Source organism: Homo sapiens, chromosome 1 (assembly GCF_000001405.40).
Source record: "Homo sapiens chromosome 1, GRCh38.p14 Primary Assembly".
In the NCBI taxonomy this organism is placed as follows: domain Eukaryota; kingdom Metazoa; phylum Chordata; class Mammalia; order Primates; family Hominidae; genus Homo; species Homo sapiens.
The window spans coordinates 95,980,347-96,007,715 of record NC_000001.11 but is presented as its reverse complement, the minus strand read 5'-3'; the positions used below and the strand labels follow the sequence as shown (position 1 = coordinate 96,007,715).

At 34.6% G+C, this 27,369-nt stretch overlaps 1 long non-coding RNA gene across 1 annotated transcript in view, besides 2 other annotated features; it reads right to left on the bottom strand.

Annotated features, from left to right (window-relative positions):
* LINC02790 (long intergenic non-protein coding RNA 2790) overlaps positions 1 to 15,648 on the bottom strand; it is a 30,813-nt gene extending 15,165 nt beyond the window's left edge. Inside the window, exons 1-4 of the long non-coding RNA NR_125991.1 lie at positions 15,594 to 15,648; positions 15,207 to 15,313; positions 11,522 to 11,595; positions 1,295 to 1,523 (exon numbers count right to left, since the gene is read on the bottom strand). This is a non-coding gene — a long non-coding RNA (long intergenic non-protein coding RNA 2790). The remainder of the gene's footprint in view (positions 1 to 1,294; positions 1,524 to 11,521; positions 11,596 to 15,206; positions 15,314 to 15,593) is intronic.
* Positions 3,521 to 4,062: an enhancer, noted in NCBI's record as "OCT4-NANOG hESC enhancer chr1:96469210-96469751 (GRCh37/hg19 assembly coordinates)". NCBI's record gives its function as "activates a minimal SCP1, AML or CMV promoter by ChIP-STARR-seq in naive H9 embryonic stem cells {active_cell/tissue: H9 hESC(naive)}" and the evidence as "EXISTENCE:reporter gene assay evidence [ECO:0000049][PMID:30033119]".
* Positions 4,063 to 4,605: an enhancer, noted in NCBI's record as "OCT4-NANOG hESC enhancer chr1:96468667-96469209 (GRCh37/hg19 assembly coordinates)". NCBI's record gives its function as "activates a minimal SCP1, AML or CMV promoter by ChIP-STARR-seq in primed H9 embryonic stem cells {active_cell/tissue: H9 hESC(primed)}" and the evidence as "EXISTENCE:reporter gene assay evidence [ECO:0000049][PMID:30033119]".
* Positions 15,649 to 27,369: the final 11,721 nt, after the last annotated feature.

Here is a 27,369-nt window from a genome sequence, read left to right as displayed (position 1 = left end):
TTAATTAGTGATGTCGGCCATGGGCATGTCATCAAAGAGTGGTATTCTTTGTGCTAGATATTTGCCATCCTTTGTTCATCTCTTTGATGACAACTCAATTAAAAGCCTTTAATCAGATTGATGACATCCTTAATTTGACAATTAAGAACAAAATTGTGCATATTTCATTTCATTCAGAAGATACTTGATTCTTAAAGTTATTAAATTGCTTTACAAGTCCCATCTCCTAATAAAAACTTGAACATGTTTTCTTCTATTTTACTTTGAAGCTAGAAAGTAATTATGCAAATAATTATGCTGAATATTTTTCTAAGTTAAAGTTGTGCTTACCTTAAATTTTATTTTGGGATAAAATACTAATAACTTTCTAAAATTGAAGTTTGGCTAAGTATAATAATTTCTCTTTTCTCTGAGCACTATGTTTTATCTTCTTGTAGCCTCCATGCACCCCTATCTTTCTTCATTTTTTAATGAAAAGCAAGTATATTTATCAAAAGAAGCACACTTTTAGCATCTTGGCTAAATAAAAGAAGAGGTATGTAAGAAAATGCAAGAGCTGGAAAACAATTTCCCAAAGGAACTTAATAACTACATTTAAAATAATTGCAAAAGCAGAAGCCCACACATCATGTTGACAACCTTGAATGCAAAGCAAAATACTTTAATGTGGAGACCTGAGAGCTTTGTGTTCCAGGCCAGCTTTTAGAAAATGTTTTCAAGGATCTTCTGTTAATCTCCATAAAAAGCCAGGAAAGAGTAAACTTTATCAATTTAATAAGAGATTTATAAGGTGTTACAACCATGTATTCTCTATCTCTAAGGGAACAAATTAAATGAAAGGTGATAATTATTCAGATTCAAAACATGTTATAGAAGGCAAGACAAAATTAAATAATTAGAAAAATATTATTAGTGGGAAAATATGCTGAATTAACAAAAGAATTATATACTAAAACAATTGGCCAAGATAATACTACTAATATATTTAAATGATTTATACAGATAATAATGAGATGGCCTACTAATGGTGTGCTTTTATAAAGTGGAATTCTTTTGAATTTGCAACACTGATAGTTAAAATAGCTAAAAATGATGGAGCCTAAATTATAATTATAGAAACAATTTGAAATATATTATTGATCCCAATCTGGTAAACATGCTATACATACAATAGGAAAATCGAGAAAATAAAGATGGAACAAACGCACACTGCATCAACTGTGTGCTTGAAAGATAAGTCCTTACTTTCTTCTTTTATATTATACTCATAAAATTACCTCAGAGATGCACTTACTTTATATTTTGTGTTATGCAGGTTTTTCCGAAGTTTCAGGCCTTGGTAGCACAATCACTCTGCAGTTGAAGTATTTGGTGATAAAGAAAGAATATTTATTTCCCTTCAGCTCTTTGGAGAACATCCAGGGATCACATTGAAGTCATTTGATGTGTGAACAGAAGATAATGAGCAGATGTTCCTTGATGGCAGAACTTTTAGGTGGAGGTAAGGACCTGGACTTACCTTGCTGAGTTAAAAGAAATAGTAGAACTGGGTGATGATACATGACTCTATGCATTTGTCAAAACTCATTGAGCTGTACATCAAAAAGAGTAAACTTTAACGCATGCAAACTAAGAAAACTAAAACATCAACCAGCATGTGGAAGGGCAAATTAATTAAACTGTTAACAAGTATATGATATATTTGCACTGAATGAGATGGAGGTAAAGAGAGCTGACCTATGTAGCTTTGGAAAACAATGTTTTGACTGTAAAGCTAAACTTTAAATGTAAATTATAAATGAAAATAGAGAAACTGTAGAGTCAAGGACAAAAAAAGGAACTTTAGACCTGGTGTGATGGTTCACGCCTGTATCCCCAGCATTTTGGGTGGCTGAGGTGAGGAAATAGCTTGAGCCCAGGAGTTTGAGATAAGCCTGGCAACAGGGTGAAACCTCTTCTCTATAAAAAAATACAAAAATTAGCCAGGTGAGGTGCGCATCTGTATTTTTAGATACTTGGAAGGCTGAGGTGGAAGAGTCAGTTGAGCCTGGGGCTGAAGTGAGCCATGATTGTGCCACTGTACTCCAGCCTGAGTGACAGAGTAAGATCCTGTTACATAAACACTGTACTCTGTTTTCGTTTTCATTTATTTTTCTCATAGAGGTACATGTTAGCCCTTCTGAAAGGTTAATATATATATAGGGATTGGATAAATAAGTAAAAGGAAGATGGATATTGGGTGTCACCTTTCTCACTGTTGGAGAATAAAGTTATAGCTAAGCAAGAGGGGAAGGCTAAAATAAACTCCATAGTAGTGGATCAGAGTTGGAGACATCTGCATGAACTTATTTTTAGCTTACTATAGATGCGAATGGATAGATACAGAAACAAGCATAGATATTCATGTACACATAAATTAGTATATATAAATGTATGTACTATATACATAATATACTATATAGTGTGTGTGTGTGTGTGTGTATATATATATATATATATATATATATATATACAAACTAAAGATATGCATGTACACCTAATAGTATACATAATAGTTGTGTTGGTTGAGAGGTCCTAGAAGCAATGATAACCCAGTGGCAGTGTGCACAGACAGCACCTAGATCTTGGTTTCTAAATACCATTTTACCCAAGTAAACCAAGGCTCCTTGAAGAAATGGTTAATTGTAGGGTTAGGGCAAGAAAAATACAAAATGAACCTGGAATCTCTTACAGTGGCAGAAAGTAAGAAAGTGGAAAAAAAAAAAAGCAAAGGATAGAGATGTGTCAAAGGGACACAGAAGCCAATTGAAAGAATTCCCAATGGCAAAAACTGGCACAATTTCAACTAAAAAATAAATAATGTAATATAAAATAAATATTACAAGTCTATTTGGATATAAGTAAATGATGAGAAATCATCTTTATTCAAGAATTGCAAATAATGAAGCTTAGTTATCCCAAATAAGCTCTCTAAGAGATGAAATTTAGTCTTCCCTACCCCTTCTTCCAAGAATGGGCTAGACTTAGTGACTTACTCCCAAAGAATAGTGAATGGATGAGAAAAAAGAGTACAATTACAGTGAAGATACCTGGCAAGCACTACTATCTCAACCTGATAAAGGTGAAGCAGTGGTCTTATGTGCACATGAAGTGCCTGCTAATACAATGGGAGGAGTAGGGCACTTCACCTCTGTGGTAGTCTTCTAAAAACTCATAACCCCAGTCTAATCATAAGAAAAACAGCAGATAAACCAAAACTGAAGGACACTTTACAAAATACCTGACTGATACCCCTCAAAACTATCAAGGTCATGAAAAACAAGGAAACGTTAAGAAACTGTAACACACCAGAGGACACTGAGGAGACATGGCAACTCAATGCGATGTGATACAATTTGAGCAATGATGTAAATACTGCAGTATTTTATCAAAATTAGATTGGTCTTAGAACAAAAAAAACACAGAGGAGTCACACATCTTTTCAAAACCTCTTTACATATATTATATAATATATTCATTTATTTTAATGTCATACACATTTTTATGATTGTTGTCAATTTTTGAAAAAATTTTTTTAAGTATTTTCATAAAAGAGCTGCAAGATTTCAGGGCATTGAGATATTCTTGTGCGGTGATTACTCTTAAATACTCTTGCAAGCATATAAAATTTGAATTGTTCAACTTAACTATTCCACAGTGTATATATACTTCAAAACATCATGTTGTACATGACAAAAAATATGATTTTATTTGTTAATTTAAAAAAACATTAAACATTTTTGAATTGAAAAGCATTTGAAACATTGTTAGAAACCATTTCTACTGTGGGACAGTTAACAACAATTGAACTATACAAGGAAGTGACTACACATCTCATAAATATATCTCCACAAATCCAAACTAAATGTTCCTTCAATCTTCCTATTCGAATCACAATACATTCCCGCGGAGACATTAATGCCTCCTTATGTGTAGGTAAATGAGTTTGGGATAGAGGGTACGCAATGTGGAGAGTCAGTAAGGAAAAAGATTGATTGTAGCTAAAGCATTTGCACTTTTGCAAATTTTACGAAAATATATGACAATACAAAGATAATGCTAGGTCTCTTCCAAGCCCTAACATCTGAATCTGGTGATAAGACAACAGGATTCAAACGTGGCCATAAGGGTAGTGATGAAAATTTTTAGGCCTCAAACCTAAGCAGCAAGCTTCATGCAGATAGCTGATCATTGGGAAATCAGCACTAGCCTAGTCAAATGGTAATCTGCACCTTATTTGTTTCCTTGCATATGTTGATTCCTTGTATGCCTTTCACTCAGGAACACAGAAGTGGGGGAAGGAAGACAGGTGAGCTGAGAAGTGAAATTCAGGAAAAGATTTCAGCAGACTTCTTGGCCATAAAAAAATCAAATATTTATTTTAAAAAAATTACATAGTACATCTGTGTTCTAGGTGCTACTCTCAGAGCTTTATCCGTATTACTTCATATATTCTTCAAAGCAACTCAATGGGTTAATATCTTTATCACCCCATTTTTTAGATGAGAAAACTGAGTCACAGAGAGATTAATTTGCCCAATTCACAAAATAAGTGGTAGAGCCGGAATTTTAAGATTATAAACTTCACCCTTATCTTGTACAATTTTTTAGAAAGGTGGAAGGGGAAAATTAAAGGAGATATGAATAAAACAGAGCAACAGTTGCGAAAAGATGACCAGTAGATGGAACCTGACCCTCTGATTTGTCTACTAGTCAATAAATTCACATTAGAATTTGAATACCTTTAGGAGGGTCATACGTTTCAGTTTGGTGAGTCTCCACAACTTTTTGAGGCACTGCCCTGCCACTTGACATAGTAATATTGCTTGTCTGGTCTCAAATTGTTTCAGTTGCATACAAAGAAACAGAAACTAGAGTCTGATAAAGTGGGGAGACGGAGGAATTATGGAAAAGCACGTAGATGACGTAGATGAGAAGAGGGTAATAGAGAAACCGCATTGAACTAAGTGACCCACAATGTAACTTTATGAACTAATAAAAGTTACATGGAAAAAAAAAGTTTTCAAATCCTAACATTGCTTTCCCTTAAAATACGGGTGGAAAAAAGGGAGAGGAAACCAAAGATGCATTCTGTTCTCCTCTCCTCTTGCTCAGCTTAGCCTCATTCTACAGATACTATAGATGCAGATCCAGAACAGAAATAATTCCCTCCAACCTTTATCCAATTCTCTCTGGGACTCTCATCCAGGCTTTAGACCAATTGGGTCCTTTTGTGTTTTGGACCAACCTACAGCCATCTGGAAAGGATTCTCTGAGCCACAATTAGTAATTCTCTGCTATGAAATCAAGTCTTCTTCCAAATAAAATAGAACATAGCCCAGCCTTCAGTCTGCTAGAGCAGATCTTCGTATAGCGGCAAGCAGCCCTACCTTTAAGGCCCATCCAAACTGGAGCATGTGAAGGAGGAGAAGCAAAAATAAGTTAAGATGAAAATTTAAAATACCTAGTACTCTAGGCTCCATATCCACATTCAGACATGAAGAAATCCTGGTCTTGGACATATACATATTTGGCATGAGAACTTGGATTGCTTCTTTTACTGATGTTTATTCAATCTTTCAAAATGACAAATACGAGAAAGACTTGGTAAATGAGTTTATTTTGGAGATTTGTTAAGAGTCTGCTCACTGCTGGAACAGTGTATACAGGAAAAATATAAAATCATTAACACTCACTCCAAAAATAAGCAACTCTCAGCACTGACACCCTTAACAAAGCTGCTAAAGAAAAGGCAAGTGGGAAAGTTTGCCTTTTGACCACACTCTGAGGATAGGCAAAGCAGGAATCACCTTAAAGAATAAGGGGATGTTCACTAAGCACTAAGTGACCCTTTCCACAGGCTTACTAGAAAAGCCAAGTTAAAAATCTTTTGAAAAAGCCACACATGAAAATTCAAATCCTAGCTAAATCAAGGTTGTTCTGCCTTCTATCAAGTTTAGCACAATCTCTCAATTTCTTCAGTACCTTCTGAAAAATTAGAATAACAGAATATTATAAGGTATTCTGTTGGGTCACAACAAAAATAACTGCTTGTTAATAAAGAACATAATTGTGACCCACTTGCCCTGCCCCAAGTAGACAGCTTGAGAATAAACACCAATCTGGTTGGCTTGTTTCATTTTATGGCAGGTGTGTGTTTAGTTTCGTAAAAAACTGACAAACTGTGTTCCAAAGTGGCTATACCATTTTGCATTTCCCAAGCAAAGAATGAGAGTTCACATTGCTCCACATCTTCACCAGGATTTGTTGTTGGTGTTCTGAATTTTTACCACTATAATAGGTGTGCAATGATATCTCATTATTATTTTAATTTGCAATTCCTTAATGAAAAATGATTTTGGGCATCTTTTCATATACTTTTGTCATCATTATATCTTCTCTGGTGATGTGTCCATTCATGTCTTTTGCATATTTTTAAATCAAGTTGTTTTCTTACATTTTAATCTGAAGAGTTCTTTGTATATTCGGAATATCAGTTTTCTATCAGATATATCTTCTACAAATATTCACTCCCAGTCTGTGGTTTGTCTTTTCCTATTCTTGACAGTGTCTTTCATAGAGCGGAAGTTTTTAATAGTGAAATCCAGCTCATCAATTATGTCTTTTATGGGCTTTATTTTTGGTGATACATCTAAAAAGTCATTACTGTGCCCTCGGTCATCTAGATGTTCTCTTGTGTTTTCTTTTAGGAGTTTTATATGTATATATATAATATTACATTTAGGCTTATTACTTATTTAGTTATTTATTTATTTATCTAGGTTTATGGTATTTTGAGTTAATGTTTGCTATGGTTGTAACCCTGTCTCTAGATTCCTTTTTTTTTTTTATGTGTGGTTGTCCAATTGTCCCAGCACCATTTGTTAAAGAGATTATCTTTTGTCCATTATATTCGTTTTTATAAAAGATTAGTTAACTATATTTATGTGGGTTTTTTTCTGGGCTCTTTATTCTTTTCCATTGATCTATTTGCCTGTTTATTTGCCAACACCACACTGTCTTGATTGTGTAGTTTTATGGTATGTCTTGAAGTTGGTAGTGTCAGTCCTCTGACTTTATTCTTCAATATAGTGTCGCTATTCTAGGTCTTTTGTTTCTCCTTATAAACTTCAGAATCATTTTGTTGATATCCACAAAATAACTTGCTGTTATTTTTATTGTGATTGCATTGAGCCTGTACATCAAGCTGGAAAAAACTGACGTCCTCACAATATTGATTCTTTCAAGTCATGAATATAGAATGTATCTCCATTCATTTAGTTTTTCTTTGATTTATTTCAATAGAGATTTGTAGTTTTTCTCATAAAGATCTTGTACTTGTCTTAGATTTTTACCTAAATATTTTATTTTTGGGTGCTAATATAAATGTGTTTTTTTAATTTCAAATTTCACTTGTTCATTGCTTGTATATTAGAAAGAGATCAACTTTTGCATATTAATCTTGTACCTTGCAACTTTGCTATAATCACTTACTAGTTTCAGAAATTTTTTTGTCTACTCTTTCATATTTTCTACACAGAAAACCATGCATCTATGAACAAAGACAGTTTTGTGTCTTTCTTCCCAGTATATATACTTTTCATTTTCTTTTCTTACCTTATTACATCTGCTAGAACTTTTGGTAAAATCTTGAATAGTAGTGGTGGGAAGGGATACCTTGTCCGTTTTTTGTTGCTGTAGCAGAATACCTCAGGCTGGGTAATTTATAAAGGAAAAACGTTTATTTTGGCCTACAGTTCTGGAGGCTGGAAAATTCAATAGCACAGTGCCAGCACGTGCTGAGCTTCTCATAGGATCCTTCTTTCTGCTTCATAACACGGTGGAAGTTACCACATGGCAAGAAGGCAAGAGCATGTGTGACAAATTAGGTCTCTCTTTCTCTTCTTATAAAGCCACCAGTTCCATCATGTGGGCCCCACCCTGATGACCATATCTAATCCTAATTACCAGCCAAAGGCCCTAACTCCAATCAACATATAAATTTGGGGATTAAGTTTTAACACAAGATATTTGGGAGACCCATTTGAATCATAGTAGGAAACATACTTGCCTTTTTTCTGATCTTAGTGGAAAGTTTTTAGTTTTTCATCATTAAGTGTGGTGTTAGCTGTAGGTTGCTTTTTTAAATCAAGTTGAAAAAATTCTCCTCTATACCTAGTTTGTTGAGGATTTTTATCATGAACAGGTGTTGAATTATTTTAAATGCTCTTTCTGCATCTATTAATATGCTTATATGATTTTCCTTCTTTAGCTTGTTGATGTGATAGATTATATTGATTGATTATTAAACCAGCCTTGAATATCTGGGCTAAGTTTCACTTGATCATGGTATATAATTCCTCTTTCTACATTGCTGGACTTGACTTCCTAATATTTTGTTGAAGATATTTGAATTTATGTTCATGAGAGAGACTGGTCTGTGGTTTTCCTTTCTTGTAATGTCTTTATTAGCCTTTGATATTAAGGTAATGCTAGATTCAGAGAATAAGTTAGGAAGTATTCCCTCTGCTTCTATCTTCTGAAAGAGATTATTAGAGGATTGGTATACTTTCCTCCTTGTTTGATACAATTCACCAGTGAATCCATTTGGGCCTAATGCTTTCTGTTTTGAAAGGTTACTGATTTTAGATTCAATTTATTTTATAGATATCAGTCTATTTAGATCATCTAAGGTATCAAAGTTGTGGGCACAGAGTTTACGATATTATTCTTTTATAATCCTTTTAATGTCCATTGAATCTGTAGTAACGTCCTCTCTTTCATTTCTGGTATTAGTAATTTGTATCCTCTTTTTTTTTCTTAGTTAGCCTGCCTAAAATTTTTTAGCTTCATCAATCTTTTCAAAGTCCCAGCCCTTGGTTTTATTGATATTCTTTATTGATTTCCTGTTTTCAATTTTATTGATTTTTGCTCTGATTTTTATTCTTTCTTTTCTTCTATTTACTTTGTATTCAATTGGCTCATCTTTTCCTAATTTCCTAAAGTAGATATTTAGGTTATTAATTTTAGATCTTTCTTATTTTCTTATATAGGCATTCAATGCTATAAATTTCCCCTAAACACTCTTTTTGCTGCATCCCACCAGTTTTGTTGAGCTGCAATTTCATTTTAATTTTGTTAAAAATACTTTTAAAATTTCTCTTGACTCATGTTTAGATGTGTGTTGTTTAATCTCTGAATATTTGGGGATTTTCAAGCTATCTCTCTGTTATTATTTCTAGTTTAGTTTACTGTGTTGTAAGAGAAGACAGATTGCTTTATTTTTCAGAGTGCTATATATTTGTCTTACCTCTCCATTCTTAAAAAATTGTAACATCCTGGCTGGGCGTGGTGGCTCACGCCTGTAATCCCAGCACTTTGGGAGGCCGAGGCAGGCAGATCATGAGGTCAGGAGATTGAGACCATCCTAGCTAACACAGTGAAACCCCGTCTCTACTAAAAATACAAAAAACTCAGCCGGGCATGGTGGCAGGCACCTGTAGTCCCAGCTACTCGGGAGGCTGAGGCAGGAAAATGACATGAACCCAGGAGATGGAGCTTGCAGTGAGCTGAGATGGTGCCACTGCACTCCAGCCTGGGTGACAGAGTGAGACTCTGTCTCAAAAAAAAAAAAATATTGTGACATCCCTTTCATTATTCTCACTCCCATTTTTAGAGTTGCATCACATTACAGGTAAAGTCATTCTTTGTCCCAAGTCCCCCTATTTAGTTACTTCTCTGCTGTGACTTTCCATGTTATTTCTCACCTGTTTTCTTCAAAGTGAATGTTCACATAAAAAAAAAAAGAAAAAGAAAAAGAAAGAACTCAAGAGGCATTTAAAAAATAATATATATGTACAAAGATATGTATTTAAGTTGATGAAGTTACTTTAGCTATGGGCCTGACATCACTGATCAGGAGAGACATCGATTAATAGTTCCCAAAGTCATTTATTTTTTTCCAGACTGAAGTAAATAAGCAAATGTAACAGCACATATATTTTTGAACATACTTTTTTTGTACCATGATCACAAAGCCTGTGCCATTCTGAAAATGTCTTAGCACTTTTATTTGGGGGAGGAAATGAAAAAAACAAAAGGCTACAAATGTTTTTAAGTAACTAAACCTCATGTAGGGAAAATTCTATTCCTAAATTCTGATAGATTTCTGCCTAAATTGAATTTAGCCACCCAATTGTTCCTATTAGTTTTTGAACAGAGCTAATGCCAGGGTAAACAGCCTTTGCTTCAATCAAACACAGTCTCATATGGTTTGGCTGTGTCCCCACCCAAATCTCATCTTGAATTGTAGTTCCCATAATCCCCACATGTCACAGGAGGGACCAGGTGGGAGGTAATTGAATCATGGGAGTGGTTACCCCCCTGCTGCTGTTCTCATGATGGTGAGTGAGTTCTCACAAGATCTGATGGTTTTATAAGGGGCTTTTCTGTCTTTCACTCATTCTTCTCCTTGCTGCTGCCATGTAAAGAACGACATGTTTGCTTCCCTTTCCACAATGATTGTAGTTTCGCAAGGCCTCCCCAGCCATGGGGAACTGTGAGTCAATTAAACCTCTTTCCTTTAAGGATTACCCAGTCTCAGGTATGTATTTATTAGCAGCATGAGAATGGACTAATACAGTCTGATGTGTTGCTACACTCTGAGCTCCATTGGAAAAATTATCACTGAAGAAGAAAAGCCTCAGTTTGTTAGACCTAACAGATTTCTGTGGAAAAGAGTACATCTTAACAGAAATAGTATTTCACCATTAAATAGTTCATCACTACATGGATTTCTATAAACTATGGCTCAAACTGTGTTTCTAAAACATACAATCTTTACAGAAAAACATACAAATCTGCTTTAAGATAATTAGCATTTCAAATAAAGGCAGCCTATGGAATCAGCCCACAACAGATAACTCTATTCAAGCACTTAACACTTAAGTACACCTCTGTATATGTCACCAAATTTGACTAAATGAACTGAAATGATCCCATCTCATACATAAGGACATAGAGTAGTGAATTATACTTTTTATCTTTGGATAATTGGGTTCAAATTATATAATACTTCCTATATAGGAGATATTTAGATCAGCTGTAAAAAGATTGTTTTTTCTTGTCATAGGCCTCATCTTGGGAAATAGAGAAGAGCTTAAAGGCTTAAAACTTTCCTAACTTTAAGAAGATATGGTAGAGGTAGTTTTGTTAGACTTTTCAAAAGGCAATTTCTATACCATATTTATCATAGTGTATTATTGTTAGTGGCTTAGATAGGGGTTTAATTAGAGAGAATGTGAATTCTTTGAGGGAAAAATGTATTTAAATTATCTGAATATCCTCAGTATCTAGTATAGTATCTGACATATAGATATTAGAAATATTTAATTATATCAGACATGTTGTGAAGAATGCAAATTATTGCATGGGGAAACACCCAAATTGTTGTCCACCCATTGTGACAATAGTAAGTACTTACAGATTTCAAATGAGAAAAGCCTGCATTCTGACTCTAGTCTCACTCTGAGGGTTACAGGACACTGTTCATTTCCACTTGAATAAAAACAAGAAAAAGCAACATTTGTAATTGCAACACTTTTTGATGTTATGTATATTTTGGCAGGTTAGCCATGAAAAAGTCACAATGTCCGTCTCCTTTTTATCTTCCAAACTCTATCTTTTTTTTTTTTCTTGGAGATTTTCTTACCCCTTCACAAACTGAAGTTACTACTTTCTCAATGTTTTTCTTTTTCTAATATTTCCTGGAAAAACTTGTACTTCCTTTAATATTTTAGAAATGAATCAATAAATAATCTTTTCTTTTTTTTTTTTGGTAGAACATACAAATATCTGTCCATTTGTTTAATATTTAAATTTACAGTAAACTCTGTTCTTCACTTATTTCTCTGGGTACCGGTCTGCTGGCACAAGTGTCCCTGAAGTCCTGACTGAAGATGAGTTGCATTATATGTAAATAATATGCAGAAAAACACAGGAGAATTATTATAGTCTAATAAAGACTCCCTTTTTAATTTTTATTAAAATCCACCAACCTCCTTCAGGATGTTTATTCAGCACTTTCTCGATGTAAAGGGACATCCTCAGTGTTTTAATCCTGTGTTGTCAGAATTTCCACCCAAAACTCATTGTCCCCACTCTCCCTGCTGGACCTCTGATCTTTGTATGCAGCTTCCATATAGTAATCCCCGTAAGTCAGGTCACAGTGCGCTGACCTCTTTATGTGATCCTCCGGGAGGATCTCATCCACATTCATGGTTTTAACCATGCCTCATATGTTGATGACATCCTACCCATCCAGGATTGACCTTTCTGTAAGGTTAGTCTTGTATCCAGTGGCTTGCTCAACAGCTAAGCTACTCACAATCACAAAGAAACTATCCTCTGAAAGATACACACCAGGCTCTAACATTGGTTACCTGAAGGTGATGAAAGTGAAGAAAGACAGGGAGGTTAGCTTTGCCTTTCTATATTGTTTTCTATTTTATTTTATTTTATTTTATTTTACATAGCAAACGTTTGTGTTGCACATTTGTTATTTTGTATTTTGGTAATTACTAAATAAAGACAAAGTAGTAGGAGCAGGAGAGGAAATGTGCTCTACACCTTGCCTCTCTGCCTCCAATTTAGTTCTCCTGAAAGCTATGCTTCATATAGATGATCTTTCTAAAATGGACATCTAACAATTCTGCTCTTCTCCTTAAAGCTAACGGTCTCTTGACTAAAGGATAAAAATCTAAAATCCTTAATATGGCATATTTCTCCTTTGATTCAGCCAAACTTTATCTTTCACTTTCAGTTTTGCCTTGATTTGATACTACAGCACTATGTTTTCTCTCAGCTAAATAGGAATTATTCTTTAGACTCAGCTCAGATGTCTTTTCTCTTAGAAGTCTTCTGCAACACTCATCCCCAACATCCAAGTTGGGGTGGATGTATCAGCTCTGTATTCCCATAGCAGCCTAATGCAATAGTTATCATAAGTGTTCAACAGATTTTGGGGGATTCTTAAGTCCGTTTTAGGGGCTCCACAAATTCAAATTATTTTTGTACTAATAGTAAGATGATATGTGCCTTGTTCACTGTGTTGACATTGGTTATTTGGCACATATTTTTCTGAAAATAAATGACATTAGGCTGCTACTTCAAGAAAAACAGCTAATAGTCTTTATTGTTATGACAAAATTTGAACGTTTAAGAGAAAATTAGAATTTTGGAAAGCTTTTATCAGTCATTGTGAGCTTGATATTATATAATAACATTTATCAAATTTTACAGGATTTATATAACTCAGTGAACCAATATCTTTTAAATGATCAATTATAATGTATATAATTATGCATGGCTAAAAGATCCATCCAATATGTGAGATATATCAATTAGTTATGTATAATATGAAAATTTATTAATATTACTTTAGGGTACCCTTTAATACTAACATTTTAGAAACTACTTGAATTTTGGTGTAGTTTAAAATAATTACCTTAAAAGGCTATTGAAATTCTCTTCTTTTACCAAATATATACTTATGGGAAGTGATATATTTATCATATGTAACAACCCAAACAACATATTACAATAAATTAAAAATAGAAGTAGATATGAAAATCCATGTATCTTCTGCTAAGATGGATATTAAGTAGATTTGCAATAATTTAAAACAATGCCATTCTTCTAAGATTTGTGTTTTGGAAGATCTAATTATATTTCACAGAAGAATGTTATGTTAACATGTAAAAGGTTTATTGTATTTTAAAATAAATTAATAAATATTTTGAAATAACTCGTTTTAAATTTTTCATAGAGTAAATATTGATACTTTTAACACATATATGTCCTCAATAATTTTTAAGCATTTAAAATGTTCCTGGGATTTAAAAAATTTGAGGACTGCTTCCCTAATGCATGTCTCAGTTATTACATACCACATGGCCTTATAAATATGTTTATGTGCCTGTCTCTGTAATCCTGCACTTAGATCCTTGAATACTGAGCTGTCTTTAATTATTCAGTGTTCAAGGAGGTTTTACAGGGAAGGAAAATATGAGTGTTCCCTTTGTCATTTAATGTTCAATATATTGAAACTCACATCTAAAAGATAAAACTATGAAAACTCATTTTTTTAAAGATTCAAATATCAGTTATTTTGACTAATTTCTCTCAAATAATGTACATGGCAATTATAAATTTCTAAACAATTTAAACAACAATAAAGGTATACACAAATGCAATAATACAAAATTTATAACATTAACATTTAACTTCTTGTCTAAAAGAATCAACTCCATAGACTTACTTTAATTATTCCTTATTTCTATACCAGATTTTGTACATTCTCAAATTACTTTAATGCTTATTTTGATATTTTCCCGTGGTTTCAGAAAGTATTATATTGATTTCGTTCTGGAATGTTATTGATCTTTCTAGATTCCCTTCTTCTCAGAACAGCAGATGTTACAGAATCAAGGTTATCAAACAGTTACTGAAGATCTTCTCTCAGGCCCCGGTACAAGGGAATTAAACCACAGTGTCATATAATTTGGCTGAGTCCTTTTCAACAATAATGTTTTCCTTGTTTTATATTTTAATGCCCCCTCTTTCTCACATGTATTTTTATCTCCATAAATTATTATCTTTCCAATAAATCAAGTTTTAAATAGCCTGCCATACTTAACACATTGAATCGTCTTTGCAATGCAGTAACCTGGTTCAATATTATTAACTCTTCATTATTATTTTTATTGTAATTCAAAAGATCCAACCAGTATTTTCATCTCCTAGGAAATAAAGGAGTGAAGCTGCACTCTAACTCTCATCGTTAGTTCTTTGACTAACTGATCGAAATTTTGAAATAGTGTGGAGCATTCTTTCCACTGAGATTTTATGTGTAGCCACATATGTTATAAATAGCTGGAGCTGGTTTAAATATGGTTCTTATGAGTGACTATCGCTGTTCACCATTCCTTCCTATTCTTGGTATGTGGCTACATTTTCCAGAATGACTTGAGTTTACCCAGATAAACTTGGTAAACCAGGATACAATAAATGTAAAAATCCCAAATGATATGCCAACAGTTTGTTTATTAACATCTGTAAAAACTGTATACCTCTTACCGTTTTGCAACCTTCTTTTTTATTTTAATTACCTTTGAAACACTGTCTTCACTTGAATTCCAGGATAACACTTTGATGGCTCTTCCTGATCACCTTTCTTCACCTCCTCTGTCAGTTCTTTCCTCTTCATGTCCTCAATCTGTGCATTCGCATATCCAGTGTTCATGTGCATATGTGTACACACACACATAAATGTTAATGACTAATACATTTCTGTCATCAGCCCAGCCTTCCCAGAACTCTAGCCTCATATAGCCACTGCCCACTCTATATGTCTTCTTGAATGCCTAATAGACAACTCACATTTAATATGCTTAGCTCTGTGCTTCTGGTCTTTATCACTAAACCTGCTTCTCTTCCAAATTCTGTAAATGCCAACTCCATTCCTGCAGTTCTTTAAGTGACAATTTTGGCACTACCTTTGACATTTTTTCTCAGACTCCATAGCAGTCTTTCAGAAAATCTTGTTCATGTTAACTTGGAAATATATGCAGAATCTGATTCCTTCTCAAGCTCACATGATTTCTCTCCTGGATTATTGCAGTGGACTCCCACATTGTGATCTCACTGCTACTGTTGCCCCACCTGCAATCCATTGTCCCCATAGCTGCAAATGGCTGTTTATTTCACCCGGGGAAAAGCCAAACTCTCTCCACTGGCAAAACAAACAAACAACAACAAAAAACAAAACCTCTACACAATTCTATTTCCTGGAAATATCTGACCTCATCTCCAACATTCTTTATTCTTTATACTACCCTTTACCCAAAGAAACTCCTGGTTCTCTTTCTCTTCTTCACAGCTTCTCTCTGGCATTTATTGCCTACCTTCCTCATTTATTTCTTTCTGTAGTACTCAGCACCATTGAGATACAAGATTTTGCTTATTTATTCATTTTTTTCCCTCCACTAGAATGCCAGCTCTAGTGATCGCCCAAAGTAGACACTTAATAAATAAAGGTTGAAGGACTGGATTAAATAAAACATATATCAAATCTGAATATCAATAAGAATTTTTGGTTTTTTATAAATCTAATGTGTTCCAATTAACTGTATTATTGCTATGATTTTTACTACATGGTCAAACTATTTCAACCTGGCTATCTGGAACCTCTTTACTATTTATTTATTTATTTATTATATTTTATTTTGAGACGGAGTTTCACTCTGTCACCCAGGCTGGAGTGCCATGGCGCCATCTTAGTTTACTGCAACCACCACCTCCCAGGCTCAAGTGATTCTCCTGCCTCAGCCTCCCAAGTAGCTGGGACTACAAGTGTGCACCGCCACACCCAACTACGTTTTGTATTTTTAGTAAAGACAGGGTTTCACCATGTTGGCCAAGCTGGTCTCGAGCTCCTGACCTCAAGTGATCTGCCCGCCTAGGACCCCCAAAGCGTTGGGATTATAGGCATGAGCCACCATGCCTGGCCCAGGAACTTCTTTAGATTTTGGTTTTTTTCTTTATAACTGCCTCTGTTACCCTTGAAAGTATTCCTGTGGCAAAAGTAAAATTTCCGGGCCCATTCTATTTTTCTCCTGATGTAAGGTGTGGAATTAGCTACACAGAAAACCAAACAGTCCTGATTTTCTGTAGTGGAGAGCAGTATGAGAGACTAAAATCTTTATCCTAGGGGTTTCCTGAAAATTGGAAATGGGTGAAGTTCTAATACTACTGCTATTTCTACTATTGGAGAGCTTTAGTAGTGCCAAGCTTTAAATAATATATTATTTTAAGGTCCTAATGTCACACTGGTGTTTCTAATTTAACCAATTAGATTACCATGTTCTACTTTTCTTTATATGTAATTTCATTGTCTTTTTCTTACTTTGGCCATTTTTGTATCTCCAGAATCTAGTCCAGTGGCAAATAAATAGTAAATGCTCAGTAATTGTTTGACAAGTCAATTATTTTTATATAGAATAGTAAGATAAGATGGGAAGTTTTAAGGACCAGTGTGATTTAAGTCAAGTATTCACATTAATGTAATGTGTCACTAATATAAGTCCATTTCTTGGGCTAGTTTGGGAGGGCTCATGAGAAAGCTAGTTGAGAAGCACAAGTATTTCCTGACATTTCTTCTTATCTAGTGTGCTACAACATGTGTTATTTTCTCCTTACAATAGAAATGGGGCCTCTAACAGAACAGATTCTATGTGGTGCATATTTATCCACTTGTATTAAAATTTCACTCAATATCACCTTTTTCTCTAAGGAATTCAAAGTGCTTTACACAGATTAGGAATGGTGACAAGTCACTTGTGAAGTAAATAATAATGCTTTGAAATAACATAGCACTTATCATCAGTGGAGCCCAAAGCACTTCAAATGATTTATCTCATTTATCTTCACAATGTTCCTGTGAGAAAAGACAAGTATTATCTCCACTTTGAAGATAAGAAACCGTCACAAACTGGTCATGAAGTAAGTCAGGGGCAATGATAGACAATGAGTGAAAGATGGTGCATATGGGACAGATTCTCTTCTCTTGGACCAAAGCGCTTTTTGTAAGACTGCTCTTTTCTGCATAATGAGTTTCAGTAGAATAGTCCTTCCAAAGAACTGTAAAAATCATCTTACAATACGTCTTACCAATAAGTCATTTATTTATCATTTACCTGGGTGGTGACAACAGTTCCTTCTGAGTAAAATCCCTGCGCTGGAGATTGTGTGGTTCTTGCCAATGATTCGCTCAAATATGATGGGAGATGGTAACTTGTAGGTGCGAGTGTTCAGCAATTTTATCTATAGTTAATTCACATAATTCACAACTTTTAAATTCTTTCTATTCCTTTATTATTGAAGCTTTTAGAAATGCAAAGTTGTTTCTAAGGATTTATAAATATTTCTTCCTGATATCCATAGAAAGCCATATAACACTTTAAAACAATAAAAAATTCAGACAATTTTTAAAATGTGTGTGCCTGATGAGAAATACTTCATTTTTATATTTCCTTTACCTAGACTTCCTTCCAAGACTCTGGCAAAACCTTCTCAAGTACACATCTGAGATGGTTAAAGTCAACACACTATAATTCTCCTGACAGCCATGGACCTTAGGCGGCTGCGCCCAGAAAAACTTTTCCAAACCAGCGAGTCAAGGGATTTTGATGCTTGTCATGAAATTCTTCCAAGAGCATCACTGACTTTCTAACTACCCCAGAATTGAATTAGAGTAAAATGGAAAACATTTATTTCAATATCTACAGGAAGTGTTTACTTTGTACTTTAACATTGAATGGGCTTCTAGCTCCTGCTAAGCCACCACTACAAGAATGATAAAATCATTCTGTGAGAGATGCAAAGTTTTACATGGAAGCAATGAAATCAAGTTATTTTCAAAATCTCTTCTCCAGAGGATTTCAAGTGGGGGGTTGGGGGAGAAGGGTCCATAAACCCCTATAGAGTCCTTAGATATATTAGTCAAGATTCTCCAGAGAAACCTTGGTTCTCCAGAGCCAATAGGATAGATACAGATTGAGAGAAAGATATAGATAGATATAAATAGATTTAGATTATCTATTTCTCTTTCTATCTATATCTGTTTGTATCTATATATATTTCTGTCTATATCTATGCTATTGGTTCTGTTTCTCAGTTCAGTCGTGTGTGCGTGTATATATATATATGTACACAAATAATTTACAAAATGTAAAAGAACATTGCAATAAAGCTTCATTTATTGAATGCCTACTATGTGCTAGATACGTTAATTTCTAATGTGCATTATCTAATTTAATCCTCACAGCAGCCCTTCTTACTGATTGTCAGCAGCTAATAAGTGGTGATGAACCCAGGTTTTCACCCTGAACAAGGACACAATTGACTGATATGGGGTCAGCTCCATTCCCTTCCTATTTTACTTCTCTTTAATCATATATAAAATAAGTGTCCTACACATTCTAACTAAGCCTAATGCCAAAACTTTAATTTCAAAGTTGAGGCCGGGCACGGTGGCTCACGCCTGTAATGCCAGTACTTTGGGAGGCCGAGGCGGGTGGATCACCTGCGGTCAGGAGTTGGAGACCAGCCTGGCCAATATGGTGAAACCCTGTCTCTAATAAAAATACAAAAAAATTAACCTGCAGGCACGCACCTGTAGTCCCAGCTACTCGGGAGGCTGAGGCACAAGAATCACTTGAGCCTGGGCAGCATAGGTTGCAGTGAGCTGAGATCGCACCATTTCATTCCAGCCTGGGTGACAGAACGAGACTCTGTCTCAATTAAAAAAAAAAAAAAGTTGAAATATCCATAGGAATGACACAAATATTTTATCAAAAGATCGTTGAATTGAAACAGGAGTGACAGCTCCAACTGCACGGGGGCTGGGATAGTGTGTCATCATCAGTAACAATGATGTTGTTATCATCTCTGCTGGGGCAATTCTACCCTTGTAGGCTACTGATGTCGCTCAGAAACTACTCCAAGGAAAAGATTTTTATACTTGGAAGATTTAAACCCAATGAGATGCTGCACTTGTGGAGTTGAAATAACTCTCATTTGTGTTTTCCTAGAGAAAGCTATTATTGATGAAAGCCTCAAAGGAATAAGGTGTAGGACCAATAGTGCCTTTTTCCTATGGGACATACAGAATTTTCCTTGCAGATGATGTTGAAGAAAAATTCTACTTGATTCGTGTTTTACCTGTGCTCAAGTCATTCTAAAAATTATTGCCACCCATTAGGAAGATTGGCCTCAGCCATCAAATGGGCAAGGCATACCTGTGAGGACTATCTATGGATAAATAGCTGCTTCATTAACGGTTAACGTTCAAAAAACACCAATATATTTCTGTGTTTGGACAGTTATTATTACACAAGCAAAATGCAACAGTTGTGATATAGTCCTTTACCTAATTTCCTCTGTGATAGTGAAGACCTAGAAGTTTGGATATTCGAGGTGAGGGAGGTAAGACAGAGGAGCAGAAAGGGATGTGTAAGAGGAAAGCAATAACAGAAATGGGAGAGAAATTTAAAATCAGATTTTCTAACTTAAGCTAGGATATTATGGACAGACATACCTATCAACTTTGTCTCTAATTCAGGGCATTTTTTGATAAGCAAAAGCAATGACGTGTACCCTATCAACATTTAATGCTCTGCATTATACTGATGTTACACAAACATCTTTCTTTGAGACTCTTTGATGAGATCTGGCTGGTGAAGCAATTAACTCCATTCCCTCATCTTAGGTAGTCAGATTTCCCTTTGGCTTTTAAACATCTTTTAATTGGATACTATCTAGTTATTGCTCACATTTTATATCACTAACTTGTCTTTATGGATTTTTATCATTGGTCACTTTTGCCTTCTTTGTGGGAACACAAATGCTCATAGCTTCAATTTATTTTTTCTAATTCGTTACAAAAATTGCATTTGTTGTTAGTGGTGGTAGTTCTTGTTATGCAAAATGTTAATGTCAAAGAAAGCCTTTTATTGCATATTAAATGCATATGCAAAAAAATCCTTAGTAATTCTGAACCCAGTTATCTCTGATTTGACCAACTTACCCAACTGAGAGCCAGTTGATGAGATACAAGCCATCTTTATTCTAATTTTGTAAGAACTGTGGAAGGAAGGAAGAGTGTGTTTCTTTTTGTTTGTTTGTTTGTTTGCTTGTTTTGATAGAGATGGGATCCCTAGGCTGGTCTCAAACTCCTGGGCTCAAGTGATCCACCTGCCTTGGTCTCCCAAAGTGCTGAGATTACAGGCGTGAGCCACCACGCTTGACCAGAAAGAGTGCTTTTAAAGAACAGAAGTCAAGTAATAGAGTCAGCCTGAGTTCCCCTTTTTTGTGTAATATCCCACCCCTGTGCCTTTGCTCATGTTGTTCCTTTGCCTGGAATGGATTTGCTTTTATCCATCCTTCAAAGTCCAACTCAAAGTTACATCTCCTATGAAGCTTTTCCTCATTGCAAAATTCTCTCCCGGATTTTCATTTCAATTTACCTATACTTGCTTAAAAGATGTCACTTTCTACCTTGCCTTGAAACTAATTATGCTCAAATCTTATAGCCCTATAATAAACTGTATATTTCTTGGAGTGATTATTGTGTGTGTGTGTGTGTGTGTGTATATGTATATATATGTATATATATATACATACACACACACACACACACACAATAATCACTCCAAGAAATATATATATACATATATACACACACACACGTATATATAATGCTTCAGTGCCTAAGCAGAGTGCCAAGCACATAGTAGAAACTCAACAAATGCTTGCTTAACAAATGAATTTAAATGCATATGAATTTAATTATACATATTAAGTAACAGTATAGTTTCAAGCAGGATTAACCAATTATTTGTGGCTATATTTCTTGATCAGATGTAAAAACATTTGTTTCAATCACTAATAAATAAATTATTTCTAGAAGTTAAAGACAGAATTTTACTGATTTTAGTTTAAACTAAAACTTATGCTTGATATAATGTCAGTATAATATAATAGTGAAGTTAGATTCAAATTACGTGATTTTTGTAGTTTCTAGGATTTTACTCTTCTAAATATGTGATGTTACATTAAGTGCAGTGTAAGAAAGGGTTATGATTAATATGATGAAAACTATATCTTAGCATATAACTTTAATAAAAGTAAAAAGTTCAAACAGAACATATGAAATTGTGTCTATGAATCAGGAGAATAATCTGCACCTTATTAGTAAAAGTAAATCTTGCTTTTACTGAGCCATAAGTGTTTTTATATCTAGAGCTGGCATTACAGAACTACTGAGATACAGAAAAAAAAATGTGCTAGGACATAAACTCTTCTCATGATTTAAGATATGTCAAAAGATGTAGCTATCTTCAAAAGAAATAAAGCCTACCATCACCAACATTTGCTGTAATCAGCTTATAATTGTTTGGGGGTCTGGGGGGCTGCTAAAGACTGCACCTGCCTCCCTAACTACGGCTTTCCACTTTTCATTTTAAAGAGGCTAGTACCCCATCATGCTCACAATCTCCAAAGCAGTTCCTGCCTCACCTCCAAGCTGACAGAAACCTTGATTCTGATTCTCAGTTGGTTTTCTGCCTGTCAGAAGGAAACTTCCAACAGTTTGCTATGGGTTTTTTTATTCATTCCCTTCCAGGCTTTGTTCCTCACCATACACATTGCAAGTTTAGCCTAAGCAATGTCAATGGGGTAGGCTGAATTGTGATTCAGGGCAAGTCTAATTTCTCCCAACAGACAATTTCAAGCTAATGCTGACCATCAGAGGAAGGCTGTCATTGATATCATCTGGTTAATGGCATAACTTGGTCCACTCAACTCAAATTGCATCACTTACACTAATCTGCTGCAGTTCTGCAGCCCCACTCTGGAAGAGCCCTCTGCCTCACTGACAGGAGTGTGCCATTTGGTCAGAGAGCATGATGTAATTGCAACTGCTTTTCTTCTGATGAAGTATTTAATATGACCTTGCTATCATCTTCAAATAAATTATTTACCCTTCTAACAGCCAGAAATTGTCCAGACAAACTTAAGTAGCAATAAATTTCATAAATTATTACAGGTCAGAATGTACTCCTAAGTGACTCCAGTCAGTAGCAGCCCATGGAAAATCCTATAAAACTCCATTTTCCTCTGTCCAGCCAAGGTAGATTGGTAGACATAAAGCTGAGTTATCAAATCTTACTTTTACTCATCTGCTCTCAGAAGCTTACAAGTAATAAACAACTTCATGTAGTCGGCAGACAAATTGATGGTGGGGAGCTCTCCATTAAAAGGATAAAACAATGATGCTTTGTTTTCTTCTTACACAAATGGCCAGCTGAGATTCATTTGGTTTTCATTTTTAGAATAAAGCAGTAATTTCTGGTGTGACCTAAATGCACCACAAAATAAAGTATTCATGACAGACCTACATTCTTGGGGAAAATATTTTATTCTTCTTAATAAAGAAAACTACATTCAAAGACTTATGACTTCACTAGATATTATTCAGCCATTGTGGCTTTGCACCTAAGACAGCTTCATGTTAAATTTCCTTTTAGGTTTAAGTGTTCACTTTTCATCAACAATCTTTGCTAATATACCTGAGAGAGGGAAAACAGGGAATCAAAACCTCGTTGGCCTCTCTTCATGACCCCTCCAAATTTAATTTTATGAATCACTTTGATTTTTTTTCTAGCAAAAGCAAATTTGCTAACTATCAAGTATTCTCAAAGCCAGAGCCTCATGTAAAACAGAGAGCTCCTGATGCTGCAATTACCTGGTCATTGATACTAGTGAGCCTTTCTGTGTTTCACTCTTATGAGATGAAAAGTTGTTATTAAAGAATAACATATAAAGTTGGATGTAGCTTTGGACCTACCAGAGAGTGCAATGAACACTTCTGGAGGCCTGAGAAGTGGCTTCTTTATTCTGACTGAAACAAATGCCATCATGGAAATAACTCTTAGAAAACTGGGGAGCTTTCAAAGACATCCTCTTGAAAAAAAAAAAAAAGAAATCTCCAGTTCCTGGGAAACAGTGACAGATTAATATGCAGAGTGATGCATGGCTGTCACAATCAGCACTTGCCTCAGTGATTCCTAGATTGTTAATAGCTACCTTCTGGTGTATAGGCTTGAAATTCCTATAGTCTACAGTGCACCAACAAATACTGACCAGACAGTGCTGGCCACTGCAGTGGGCAGCAGTGTTTCTCCAAATACAAGGCATAGAAAAAAAAAGAATATGATTTTCTTTCTCAATTAATAATTGGAAGAGAGACATCATCAGCATTTTAGTTTTAAATAAGATTTCCATCTTAAATGAAGGGGATGGGGACACTAAAATGAAAAAAGGGTGGCGGGGAGTCAAGAACCTGTTTTAATTCAGTCTTTTTGTTTCCTCCATGCCACACAAACAAACTTCTTTTTAAAAATTGGATTCTTTGCCTGTTCGTTAAGGTTCATCCCAGGGTCCTGCAGATCTATCACAATCTGGCCACTCTGTACATTTTCTAACTACTCAGGCCCAAACCTCACTGTGATGCTTGACATTCCCTTCTTCCATATTCTGTATTCAATCCATCGGCAAATCCTCTCATCTCTCCCTTTCATATATATTCAGCATCCATCCACTTCTCATCACATCCACTGCTACCATGTTCATCTGGCTTGAGCCACCATCATTTCTTGCCTAGATTATTGCAATGGTTTCCAAATGGAATTCCTTGCTTCTACCCTTGACACCCCCGACCCCTACAAATTATTCTTAAAACTTCAAGAGAGTGAACCTGTTAGAACTAGTGAGATTCAGAGGCAGATTTATTGTGAAACTAATGAAGCTTAAACTTCTATGTTCTTCTCCTAACAGTTCATTCCCAAGGCTCTAAGAGGGCCCCAAGTCTAAGCAATGTGGTTAGATGGTAATAAATTTCTTGATGTTTTCAAAAGTAAGATTGTTAAGTATTTTTGAAAACCTGAATTCTAAAATTAACATACCTGGAAATTGAGGCTCCACAAAAACTAAATCAGATAGTATCACTACTTTTGTCAGATCATCTCTGTCCTCTGTTCAAAAACCTCTAATGGCTTCCCATCTCATTCAGAATAAAAAAATTATTAACTAAGGCCAAAAAAGCCCTCACTGTGTCTCTGACTCATTTCCTACCACTGGATCCAGTCACACAGGCTCCTTGTTATTTGTGGAACCTGCTAAATGCACCTGTACATCACAGCCTGTCCAATGTGTCACTGTTTCTACTTAGAAGGCTCCTTCCTGAGCAAGCTGATGGGGACTACCCTCTCTTCCTCCAGATATTTCTGCTCAGATGTTGCATTTATTAAAGGAGAGAATTTCCTTCACCAAACTAGTTTTTAATATGCTTCACCACCCATCTTTGACACTTCTCTTCTTGTTAAATTAAAAAATTTTCTTTCAAACCACTTACCATCTCTTGCTTCAATTTGTTGCCCCCCTCCACCAGTTACACATTCTCATTACTAGAATATAAGCTCCTTGTTATACATCCTCATTACTAGAATATGAGCTCCTTGATGGCAAACTATAGATAGAAAAACAGATAGATGGATAGATAGATAGATAGATAGATAGATAGATAGATAGATAGATGATAGATAGATAGATGGATGATAGATAGATATAGATATATATATAGATATCTCACTCTTCCCTATTGCCTAGCATCGCATTTGGCACACATAAATCTTGGATTCATCCATTCAACAGAAACATACCAAGTATGTTTGTATACACTGGAGAGAAAGCAGAGAACAACGAAACCCCTTTCTGTGGTACATGCGTTCTTACAGACAGAATGTTACTGTTGCTTCTCTATAGTTGAACTGTAAATCACCCAGGTAAAACTGAGGTCTTAAATGTCTGTGAATTATTTTGATAATGAAATAATGTTTTTTCTATTTGATACTTCTTATACCCACAAAAGCCCAAGTAGAATTCCTTATTTGTACTACTTTTTGCTATTTAAGGAAGAAGACTTTTACACTTATATTAGCTAAGCTTTAAGAGTGTAAGCATATATAAAAGGACATCTTGTGTCTCAAGTACTAAAATGAGAAGAATCGTAGTACTCCTCTGTAGGGCATGTCTTAAGAAGAATGTAATTTACTGATTACTTAATGAGAAAAGATTTCTTTTTTAAACAAACTTGTAAAAGAATAATGTGTATTATCTTCTTCTGTTTTGAAGCAATTATAAGTAGTAACGTCAGTATGAACTTTAATAAAGTTTAATTTGTTTTTATCTTTTTTATTTCAAACACTCATGTTTACTAGGCTGGCCTCTGAGTCCATAGGTCTTTACCATTATACTGTATTGCAGTCACATGGAAATATAAATAAGTTTGCTTGTAAATAGAAGTGAAACATCTATATAAACATTAATGCAAACAGGAATTAGAAGAAAGCTGGAGTAACCATTTAATCTAGAAAAAGTGGACTTCAGAGCCAGGGACAAAGAGGGACATTTCATAAAGATAAGGAGATGAATAACTCATCAAGAGGGCATAAATATTCTAAATTAGTATACACCTAATAATAGAACTTAAAAATACACAAAACGGACACTAACAGAACTAAAAACAATAATAAGACAAATCCAAAGTTACAGCAGGGGCCTTCAACATCTTATCTTGGTAGCTGAAACAATTTGGGCAGCACTGTCAATAAACATGATCTATTGACATTTATGGAGCTTCCCATCTAACTACAGTAGAATACCATTCATTCAAGTTTGCATGGAACATTCACCAAAATAGACTATATTCTAACTCCATAAAATAAGTATCAATAAATATAAAAAAAACCCAATTATACAAAGTCTATCCTCTCAACAAACACATGTGAAAATTAAATAACACACTTCCAAATTACTCAAGACTTTAATCACTAGGGAAATTGGAAAATATTTTTAACTAAATGAAAATAAAATTGCAACATAAAAATTGGGGAGATGCAGGTTGACGATAAGAGAAAAATTCCTATTATTAAAATCTTATATAAGAAAGGAAGAAACTTCTCAAATCGATGATATAAGTTTTCACTTTAAGAAACAAGAAAACTCACACAATATTCTGAGATAACAAACCTGCACATGTACCCCTGAATCTAAAATAAAAGTTAAAATTATAAAAAAAAAAAAGTAAAAGAAACAAGAAAAAGAAAATTAAACCCACTCTAAGCAGAAAGAAGAAAATAATAAACATATCAAAGAAATAGAATGCAGAACAATACAGAGAAAAATGTATACCACCAAAAAACAGTTATTCAACAAGATCAATAAAGCTGAAAAACTACTAGCTAGAATAATCATGGAAAAAGAAAAGAAGAGACAAATTACCAGTATCAAAACAAAAAACATACAGATTTTTAAAAAGGAAGAAGTAAAACTCTTTCTCTTTGCAAATAACTGATTGGCTCTGTAGAAAAATCATAAGAAGTCACAGGGAGAAGCTATTAGAAATATAAAAGGAGTTAAGTAAGGTCACGAGATACAGGACCATATGTGAAAGTCTATTGTATTTTTACATATAGACAACAAACAATTGGAAACCATTTTTTAAGGGTCATTTATATAAGCAACAAAATCTAAGAAGTGCTTAGAGATAAACTTAAATTATCAAAACCTATACACTGAAAACTACAAAAGAATGCTGAGAGAAATTAAAGACAATATAAAATAATAGAGAAATAGATGGATTACATTAATGTA